A 12321-nucleotide genomic window follows, 5' to 3' on the forward strand; every position below is an offset into this window, starting at 1 on the left:
AGCTCACCTATATTATGGAGGGTAATCTGCTTTACTTAAAGTCAACTGATGTATATGTTAATCATATCTAAAAAGTACCTTCACAGCACCATCTAGACTAGTGTTTGATCAAATAACTGGGCACCATAGCCTAGCCAAATTGACACATAAAATTAGCCATCACAAATGGAAACAGAACACTAGACCAGAAAAAATAATTAGGAGGGCTATACTAGTATCAGACACAATAGATTTCAGAGCAAAAATATTGTCAGAAATAAAAAAGGACATTTCATAATGATGAAAGTGTCAATTTATCAAGAAGGCATAGCAATCTAAATGTTTGCATACTTAATAGCAGAGCTTCAAAATACATTAAGCAAAAAATGATAAAGCTGCAAAGAGAAATATACAAATACACTATTATGGTCAGATATTTCAATACCCATCTCTCAATAATTGATAAAGCAAGTAAAAGGAAAATCAGTAAAGATATAGTAGATTTGTATAACACTATCAACCAAATTGAACTTATTGACATTCATAGAACACCCCAACCAACAGCAGCAAAATACATATTATCTTTAATTATACACATAAACCAAGAAAGGCCATGAAACAAGACTCAAATTTAAATGCATTCAAGTCATACAGAATACATTCTGTGACAACAAAGAATTAAATGAGAAATCAATAACTGAAAGTTATCTGGGCCAGGCATAGTGGCTCACACCTGTAATCCCAGCACTTTGAGAATCTGAGGTGGGAGGATCACTTGAGGTCAGGAGTTTGAGACCATCCTGGGCAACATAGCAAGACTTTGTCAGTACAAATAATTTTTTAAAATTAGCCAGGCATTGTGGCACGCACCTGTGGTCCCAGCTACTTGTGGGGCTGAGGCAGGAGGATCACTTGAGCCCGGGTAGTTGAGGCTGCAGTGAGCTGTGATCGCACCACTGCACTCTAGCCTGGGTGACAGAGTGAGGCCCCATCTAAAAAAAAAAAAAAAAAAAAGTTATCTGGAAAATTCTTAAATATTTGAACACTAAAGACACACTTCTAAATAATCCATTAGTCAAAGCAAAAAATCAAAGAGGAAAACCAAAGATATTTTGAACCAAATGTGAAAACTAAAATTCAACATATTAGAATTTGTGAGATGCTGCTAACACAGTACTTCGGGAAATTTTTATAGTATTAAATGTCTGGAATGGAAAAAAAGTGAAGTTCTCATATCAATGACCTCAGCTTCCACCAATGAAACTAGAGAAAGAAGAGCAAATTAAACTGAAAATCATCAGAAGAAATGAAATAATAAAGATTAAAGCAGAAATCAAAGGAATAGATAGAACCAATAGAGAAAATTAATGAAACCAAAAGTTGGCTCTTTGACAGGTTCAATAAAATTAATAAACCTCTAGTTATACTAATCAGGAAAAAAGAGAGAACACGCCAATTGCTAATTATAAAAATGAAAGATGTGGCATCATCGCAAATGCTCTAGAATTAAAAGGATAACAATGGAATACAAAGTGAACAACTTTGTGTCCAAAAACAAGACAACATAGGTCAAATGGACAAATTCCTTGTTTGTCAATTTATCACAGTTCACTCAAGAAGAACTTTGGTAGATTTGATAAATTACCTGATATCTATCAAAGAAATGTAATTGGTATTTAAATACCTTCCCACCACAAAAAAATCTCTAGACCCAGATATCTTCACTAGTAAAGTTAAGGTAGAAATAATACCAATTCTACACAAACTCTTCCAATAAATTGTAAATGAAGAAATACTTCTCTAACCTCATTCTATGAGGCCAGCATTACCCTAATACTAAAACCAGACATTACAAGAAAACTGTAGATCAACCTCTTTTAAACATATATGCAAACATTCTAAGCAAAATTTTAAAACTCCAATATATAATATATAAAAGGGGTAATGTACTATGACCAAGTGGGGTTTCTCCCAGGAAAGCAATTGATTCAAAAATCAATCAATATAATTCACTATATTAGTGTTGTGGTTAATACTGAGTGTCAATTTGATTGAATTGAAGGATGCAAAGTATTGTTCCTGGGTGTGTCTGTGAGGGTGTTGCCAAAGGAAATTAACATTTGAATCAGTGGACTGGGAGAGGCAGACCCAACCTCATTCTAGGTGGGCACCATTTAATCAGCTGCCAGTGCGGCTAGAATAAAGCAGGCAGGAGAAGATGGAAGAACAGACTAGCTGAGTCTTCTGGCTCTCATCTTTCTCACATGCTGGATGCTTCCTGCCCTCAAACATTGGACTCCAAGTTCTTCAGCTTTTGGACTCTTGGACTTACACCAGTGGTTTGCCAGGGGCTCTCGGGCCTTCAGCCACAGAATGAAGACTGTACTGCTGGCTTCCCTACTTTTGAGATTTTGGGATTTGTACTGGCTTCCTTGCTCCTCAGCTTGCAGATGGCCTATTGTGGAACTTCACCTTGTGATTGCGTGAGTCAGTACTCCTTGATAAACTTCCCTTTACATATACGTCTATCCTATTAATTCTGTCCCTCTAGAAAACCCTGACTGATACAATTAGCTACCTAAAATAGAAAAATCACATGATCATCTTCGACAGAAAAAGCTATTGACAAAAACCAAATTTCATTTCTGATAAAAACTCTCCGCAACATAGGATAAGAAGAAAGTGTCCTCAATTGATAAAGGGTACTACCAAAAAACTTAGTTAATGTCATACTCAATGGTGAAAGATTGAGTGCTTTCCCTCTAAGATCAGGAACAAGATAAGGACATCTGTTCTCACCACTCTTATTCAACATAATACTGAAGTTTCTAGACACTGCAAGCAGATAAGATAAACAAAATTAAAGGCATACAGGTTGGAAAGAAAGAGGTAAAACTGTCTATTTGTAGATGATGTGATCGTCTATGTAAAAAACCCAATATATTTTTTAAAAGCTAATACAATGGATGAATTTAGCAAGCTTGAGTTTTACAACTACAAACAAGTTGTAGTATTCAACAGCAATATGCAAAAATCAATTGTTTCTATATAATAGCAAAAAGCCATTGGAAACTGAAACTTAAAAAACAATACCATCAAAAAATATGAAATACATAGGAATAAATCTGACCAAACTTGGGAAAGACTAGTGCACTAAAAACTAAATAACATTGCTGAGAGATATTAACGAAGACCCAAATAAACAGAGAAATACACTCATATCTGCGTCAGACAGTTCAATATTGTTAAGATAACAATTCTCATAAATTCCCAGCAGGCATTTTTGTAGAAATTGACAAGGTGATTCTAAAATTCGTATTGGAAATACAAAGGTCCTAGAATAGCCAAAACAACTGAAAAAGAAGAACAAATTTGGGAACTAACACTACCTGATTTCAAGACTCAATGAAAAGCTACAATAAGTAAGGTAGTATGGTAGTGGCATAAAGATAGACAAGTAGATGAATGTAACAGTATATAAAGTCCAGAAATAGACCTTTTAACAAAGCAAACTCAACATATATGGGAGGAAAGAACATACTATTCTTACAATTATCTACATAATCTAATCTTCTTCTCCCTCTCATTAACTCTCTAATGCCACATGAGCCCCCTTGCTGTTCCTCAAACATTTGAGACATGATCTTGCCTCAGGACCTTTGTAGAAGCTGTTTCTTGGGCTTTGAATAACCAATAACCTTCTCAATAAGGCCTAATCTAAGCAACCCCAATCTTACCAACTCCAGCATTCCAATTTCCCTTTTCCCACTGTACTTTTTTCTCTTGACCTTAGCACTTACCACTTTCTAATATACTATATAATTAACCTATTTGTTAAGTTTAATTATTTTCCCTTCTCCTGTTGGAATATTTGCTCTATGGGAATAGGAATCTTTGTTTTGTGACTACTTTACCACTAGTACCTAGACAAGTGCTTGGCACATAGTAGGCACTCAATAAAAATCTCTTGAATGAACTGTTCTCTTCTTACTTTGCAACTATTTTTTAATCCCCTTTCTCAGTCTCACAATATGTTCAATCAATATTTTTTCGGGGTCCGAAATGCCAGGCACAATTCTAAATACATTGGAACATAAAGCTGATCAAAACATGGCAATGGCACTCTGGATACTACAATGTAGTGAAAGACATGAAATCTGCAACAAATTATCACAACTGATGCAAAAATATTGATTCATTCATTCACTTATATTATGAGCAAGATATTGGTTTATTAACCACCAATTAAAAATTGTATTTATTAACTGTTTAAGAATCATCATTTTAAAACATCTCCCCAACACTTTCAATTTTGGCTGACAGTTAAGGATCTTAGAAGTCGTAACTCAACCCTAACAAGTAAAAACTAGAACAAACTGAAAAATCAACAATTCTTCATAGATCCATCAGAAAAGTGAGGCCACAGGGCAAACCACTGCTCCAAAAATTGGAGAGACAGACAAGTGGATACAGAGAATCACAACTTACCAGAGCAGAAATCTAAAGCAGAAACCTCCAAGGGAACCAGTGCCAGGGTAGGAAAACCTGAACTGTAATTGCCTAATTGCTTGTGATTCAGCGTGAATTAATTGCAGGAGGCTCTGAGAGTTCAAAACTCCAGGGAGGGATTCAGGGGGCAAGATGGCCAACTAGACAGTCAGGAGGAACATCTCCCATGGAGGGTCCAGGGCATCAGGAAGACTGGTGCACTCCTAGCAGATCTTCAGAGGGAAGGCATTGAGAGAGGACGAAGAGGAGACAGATGCTGGGCTGAAAGGGGAGGAAGCTGGGAACCGTGCTTGGGGCTACCATGCACTGGACTCATTCCTGGCCCCCAGTGACTCCAGGGAAAGGGGTGAGTTGAACAGGCAAAGGGCAACCCACTCTCACCATGGGCTCTGGAATCCTGGCAGGGGGAGACCCCTTGATCACCACAGAAACTTGAATTGGCAGGGAGAGCTGCCCAGAGAAGTGGTAGGGGCAGAACTCCAGATAAAGTGGAACCCAGAGGGTTTGGAGCACAAGTGTCTACAGTGGAGCATTGCCAGGGTTGCCCATCCCCCTAGGCTTGACTTGCTCCCATAGGAGACTTTAGCCCTAGGGGAACTGTTGGACCTGAACCCTGCTGGGTGATCTGGCCCATGAGACAGGGCCAGTCCAACCTGAGCACCCCTCATCTGCTGGCCTCTCCTGAAGCCCCAATCTGGCTGTACCTGCTTGCCATGCAGCCCCCAGGTACCTCCTGGGGTTCACATCATAGCTCCTGAGGATGGTGTAGTGCCCCTGACCAGCAGAGCGGGTCCCAGTGAACACGCAACAGTTGGTGACCTCCTGTGTGCTGCTTGCCTGCACACACTGGCCCACGGCCACACCCCTGCATCGCTTTGCCAGCATGTGTGTGCAGAGGCAGGCCCGGCCTTTCCTCCCCAACCAGCATGCATGTGCACGTGCACCCTGCCATGCCACTGCTGCCACTGTGAGTGCACACCATCCCAGTCCCCACCAGCACCCCCGCCACACCACCGCTGTCATCAGAGAGTTGGCAGGCATACAGCCCGCCAGCCCCACCTCCACCAGCACCCCACCCCTGCTTTAAAACTGCCATGGTGCAAAACTAGGCACAGAGAAAAACTGATCCACCCCCACCCTAAGCGGCCACCACTGCCCACAGGAGAACACACAGAGGAGTCACACAGTCCTGTGCCAGTTAGCACCCCACCCCCATGCTAACACTATCACATGCACGAACAAACACACACATTTTGCTGGTGGCCCCACCCTTGCCCCAGCAATACCCACAAGCCACCATGCTGTCAACGCCAGTGGCTGCTGCAAATGCCTGCATGGAGGCTGACAACCTAGCACACACTAGCACCCTGCTGCAGCCAAGGAGTATACACCCCACCACACTGCAGCTGCAGCTGCTACTGGCACATGTGAACTAGGAAGGATCCTGATGCCACTGCCCTATGAAGTACATTGGCTGGCAACACCCACCAAAGTGTTGTGACCAGCAGTCTGGAAGCACCCTTGGCCCTTCTAGAACAGCAAGTTCCAAACCTCAAGGAGTCAGCGAACAAAGTGAGAGCTCCATATCAGTCCCCCAGAGTTAGAGCATGTGGGCCAGGAGTCCTATCCTGAGCCTTGACTCCATAAAATCTTCTAAAAATGAAGTCAGATAACTGAATCCACCTTATACCACAATCAAACCCCCAAGGTCATCAAATAGGATAAAAGAAAAAAAAAAGACTTAGAAGAAACTATTTTAAAATTCATATAGAACCAAAAAAGAGCTCATATAGCCAAGACAATCCTAAGCAAAAGGAACAAAGGTGGAGGGATCACACTACTGGACTTCAAACTATACTACAAGGCTACAGTAACCAAAACATGATAGTACTGGTACAAAAACAGACACATAGACCAATGGAACGGAATAGAGAACTCAGAAATATAACTGTACATCTACAACCATCTGATCTTCAACAAACCTGACAAAAACAAGCAATGGGGAAAGGAAATATGGAATTATGTAAAGAGACTGAATCAGTGACTCACTGGTCTCCCTGAAAGAGATGGGGAGAATTTCAGGATATCATGCATCAGAACTTCCCTAACCTAGCTAGAGAGGCCAATATTCAAATTCAGGAAATGCAGAGAACCCACACAAAATATTTCACAAGAAGATCATCCCCAAGGCATAATCATCAGATTCTCCAAGGTTGAAATAAAAGAAAAAATGTTAAAGGCAACTAGAGAGAAAAGCATGGTCATCTACAAAGGGAAGCCCATCAGACTAACAGCAGACTTCTCAGCAGAAACCCTACAAGCCAGAAGACTTTCTTAAAGTCAACATTCTTAAAGAAAAGAAATTCCAGCCAGGCACAGTGGCTCACGCCTATAATCTCAGAACTTTGGGAGGCCAAGGTGGGTGGATCATTTGAGGTCAGGAGTTCAAGACCAGCCTGGCCAACATGGTGAAACCCCGCCTCTACTAAAATTACAAAAATTAGCCACGCATGGTGGTGGGCACCTGTAGTTCCAGCTACTAGGGAGGCTGAGGCAGGAGAATGGCTTGAACCCAGGGGGCAGAGGTTGCAGTGAGCTGAGATCGTGCCACTGCACTCTAGCCTGGGCAACAGGGCAAGATTCCATCTCAAAAAAAAGAAAAAAAAGAAAAAAGAAAAGAAAAGAAATTCCAACCAATAATTTTACATCTGGCCAAACTAAGCTTCGTAAGTGAAGGAGAAATAAGATCTTTCTCAAATAAGCTAATGCTGAGGGAATTCGTTACCACCAGACCTGCCTTACAAGAGCTCCTGAAAGAAGCACTGTGGAAAGGAAAGACCATTACCAGCCACTACAATAACACACTGAAGTATACAGATCGGTGAGACTATAAAGCAACCATACAAACAAGCCAGCATAATAACCAGCTAACAACACAATGACAGGATCAACTCCACACATATCAATACCAACCTTGAATATAAATGGGCTAAATGCCCCATTTAAAAGGCAAAAAGTAGCAAGCTGGATAAAGAAGAAAGACTTAATGGCATGTTGTCTTTAAGGGACCTATCTCACAAGCAATGACACTCACAGGCTCAAAACAGAGAGATGGAGAACAATCTACCAAGCAAATGGAAAATAGAAAAAAGCAAGGGTTGCAATTCTAAATTCAGACAAAGTAGAGTTTAAACGAAAAAGATCAAAAAAAGGGAAAGAAGGGCATTATATAATGGCAAAGGGTTCAATTCAACAAAAAGACCTAACTATCTTAAATATATATGTACCTAACACAGGAGCACCCAGACTCATAAAGCAAGTTCTTAGAGACCTTCAAAGAGGACTTTGACTCCCACACAATAATAGTCGGAGGCCTCAAAACTCCACTGACATTATTAGACAGATTATTAAGGCAGAAAATTAACAAAGATATTCAGGACCTGAACTTAATACTGTACCAATGGACCTGATAGACATCTACAGAAACTCTCCACCCAAAAACAACAAAATATAAGTTATTCCTATTGTGACATGGCACATAACCTAAAATTGACCACACAATCAAACATAAAACACTACTCAGCAAATACAAAAGAATCAAAATCATACCAACCACTCTTTCAGACCACAGTGCAATAAAATTGGAAATCAGGATTGAGAAAATTGCTCAAAACCATACAATTACATGGAAATTAAACAACCTGCTCCTGAATGACTATTGGGTAGCTAATGAAATTAAGGCAGAAATCAAGACATGTTTTGAAACTAATGAGAACAAAGATACAACATAACAGAATCTTTGGAACACAGCTAAAGCAGTGTTAAGAGGGAAATTTGTAGCACTAAATGCCCACATCACAAAGTTAGAAAGATCTCAGGTTAACAACCTAACATCACAACTAAGAGAACAAGAGAAGCAAGAGCCAACCAACATCAAACCTAGCAGAAGAAAATAAATAATCAAAATCAGAGCTGAACTGAAGGAGATTGAGATGTGAAAGATCATTCAAAAGATCAATGAATCCACGAGTTGGTTTTTAGAAAAAAACTAATAAGATAGATAAACTGCTAACTAAACGAATAAGAAGAAATGATAGAGGATCCAAACAAATGCAATTAGAAACAACAAAGGGAACAATACCACTCCACAAAAATACAAATAGCCAGCAAAGAACAGCATAAAAACCTCTACGCACACGAACTAGAAAATCTAGAAGTGATGGATAAATTACTGGATACATACAGCCTCCCAAGACTGAACTTGGAAGAAGCTGATTGCCTGAACAGCCCAAAAACAAGCTCCAAAATTGAATCAGTAATAAATAGCTTACTAACCAAAAAAAGCCAAGGACCTGACAGATTCACAGCCAAATTCTACCGTATGTACAAAGAAGAGCTGGTACCATTCCTACTGAAACTATTCCAAAAAATTAATGAGGAGGAACCTCTCCCTAATTCATTCTTTGAGGCCAGCATCATCCGGGTACCAGAACCTGGCAGAGACACAAAAACAACAAAAACTTCAGCCCAATATCCTTGATGAACATTGATGCAAAATTCTCAACAAAATACTAACAAACAGAATCCAGCAACACATCAAAAAACTAATCCACCATGATCATCAAAAAACTTTATCCCTGGGATGCAGGGTTGGTTCAACATACACAAATCAATAAATATGATTCATCACATAAACAGAACTAAAGACAAAAACCACATTATTATCTCACTAGATGCACAGAAGGGTTTTGATAAAATTTAACATTGCTTCATGTTAAAAACTCTCAAAAAACTAGGTATTGAAGAAACATACCTCAACATAGTAAGAGCCATTTATGACAAACACCCACAGCCAACATCATACAAAATGGGCAAAAGCTGGTAGCATTCCCCTTGAAAATCGGCACAAGACAAGGATGATCTGTCTCACCACTCCTATTCAACATAGTATTGGAAGTCCTGGCCAGATAAATAAGGCAAGAGAAAGAAATAAAGGCATCCAAATAGAAAGAGAAGAAGCCATACTATCCTTGTTTGAAGATTACAGGATTCTATATCTAGAAAACTCCATAGTCTCTGCCCAAAAGCTCCTTGAGCTGATAAGCAACTTCAGCAAAGCTTTGGGACACAAAGTCAATGTACAAAAATCACTAGCATTCTTATACACCAACAATAGTCAAGCCTAGAGTCAATCCCAGGAACACAATCCCATTCACAATTGCCACACACACAAAAATAAAATACCTAGGAATACAGCTAACCAGTGAGAGATTGCTACAATAAGAATTACAAAACCCTGCTCAAAGAAATCAGAGATGACACAAACAAACGGAAGACATTCCATGCACATGGATAGGAAGAATAAATATTGTTAAAATGGTCATACTACCCAAAGTGATTTACACATTCAATGCTATTCCAATTACCAATGACATTCTTCACAGAACTAGAAAAAAATTTTTTAAATTCATATGGAACCAAAACAGAGCCCGAATAGGCAAAGCAATCCTAAGCAAAAAGAACAAAGCAGGAGGCATCACACTACCTGACTTCAAACTATACTACATGGGTAAAGCAAACAAAATAGATGGTACTGGTACAAAAACAGACACATAGACCAATGGAAGAGAATAAAGAGCCTGGAAATAAGGGCACACACCTACAATCGTCTGATATTTGTTGCGGGAAGTCAGGAACCCCGAACAGAGGGACCAGCTGGAACCACAGCAGAAGAATATAAATTGTGAAGATTTCATGGACATTTATCAGTTCCCAAAATTAATACTTTTATAATTTCTTATGCCTGTCTTTATTGCAATCTCTGAACATAAATTGTGAAGATTTCATGGACATTTATCACTTCTCCAATCAATACTCTTATAATTTCTTATGCATGTCTTTAATTTCTTAACCACATTATCTTTGTAAGCTGAGAATGTACATCACCTCAGGACCTGTGATGATTATGTTAACTGTACAAATTGATTGTAAAATACGTGTGTTTGAACAATATGAAATCAGTGCACCCTGAAAAAGAACAGAATAACAGCGATTTTCAGAGAACAAGGAAAGATAACATAAGGTGTGACTGCCTGTGGGGTCAGGCAGAATACAGCCATATTTTTCTTCTCGCAGAAAACCTATAGATGGATGTGCAAGTAGGAGAAATGTCGCTGAATTCTTTTCCCAGCAAGGAATAGCCCTGGGGAAGGAATGCATTCCTGGGTGTAGGTCTATAGACAGCCGCTCTGGGAGTGTCTGTCTTATGCGGTTGAGATAAGGACTGAAATATGCCCTGGTCTCCTGCAGTGCCCTCAGGCTTACCAGGATTGGGAAATTCCAGCCTGGTAAATTCTAGTCAGACCGGTTGTCTGCTCTCAAACCCTGTTTCCTGTTAAGATGTTTATCAAGACAATGCATGCACAGTGGGACACAGACCTTCATCAGTAATTCTAATTTTGCCTTTGCCTTGTGATCTTTTATTACCCTTTGAAGCATGTGATCTTTGTTACTTACTCCCTGTTCATACACCCCCTCCCCTTTTAGAATCCCTAATAAAAACTTGCTGGTTTTGCAGCTCAGGTGGGCATCACAGAACCAGCCAATATGTGATGTCACCCCTGGCAGCCCAGCTGTAAAATTCTACTCTTTGTACTCTTTCTCTTTATTTCTCAGACTGGCTGACACTTAGGGAAAATAGAAAAGAACCTATGTTGAAATATTGGGGGCTGGTTCCCCCAATAGATATTTAATAAAGTTGACAAAAATAAGCAACAGGGAAAGGACTCCCTATTCAATAAATGGTGCTGGAATAACTGGCTAGTCAAATGCAGAAGATTGAAACTGGACCCCTTCCTTACACCATATACAAAAATCAACACAAGATGGGTTGAAGATTTAAATGTAAAACCCAAAACTATAAAAACCCTAGAAGATAACCTAGGATATACCATTCTGGACATAGGAACTGGCAAAGATTTCATGACAAAGACACCAAAAGCAATCGCAACAAAAGCGAAAATTGACAAATGGGATCTAATTAAACTTAAGACCTTCTGCACAGCAAAAGAAACTATCAAGAGAGTAAACAGACAACCTACAGAATAGGAGAAAATATCTGCAAACTATGCATATGACAAAGGGCTAATATTCAGCACATATAAGAAACTTAAACAAATTTACAAGGAAAAAGACAACCCCATTAAAAGGTGGGCAAAGAGGCTGGGAGTGGTAGCTCAGGCCTGTAATCCTAGCACTTTGGAAGACCAAGGCAGGCAGATCACTTGAGCTCAGGGCATTCGAGACCAGCCTGGGCAACATGGCAAAACCCCATCTCTTTTAAAAACACAAAAATTAACCAGGCATGGTGGTACGTGACTGTAGTCCCAGCTACTCAAGAGGCTGAGGCAGGAGGATCACCTGAGCTCAGGAAGCAGATATTGCAGTGAGCTGAGATCACACTACGGCACTCCAGCCTGGGCAACAGAGCCAGACCCTGTCTTTAAAAAAATAAAAATAAAAAAATTGGGCAAAGGATGTGAACAGAAACTTTTCAAAAGAAGACATATATGCAGCCCATAAGCATATGAAAAAAAAGCTCAATATCACTGATCACTAGAAAAATGCAAATCAAAACCACAGCAAGATACCTCCTCACACCAGTCAGAATGGCTATTAATAAAAAGTCAAAGAATAGCAGATGTTGGCAAGGTTGCAGAGAAAAGGGGAACACTTATACACTGTTGATAGGCATGTAAATTGGTTCAACCATTGTGGAAAGCCATGTGGCAATTCCTCAAACAGCTGAAAACAGAACTACCATTCAACCAAGCA

This window comes from Homo sapiens, chromosome 2, assembly GCF_000001405.40.
Source record: "Homo sapiens chromosome 2, GRCh38.p14 Primary Assembly".
In the NCBI taxonomy this organism is placed as follows: domain Eukaryota; kingdom Metazoa; phylum Chordata; class Mammalia; order Primates; family Hominidae; genus Homo; species Homo sapiens.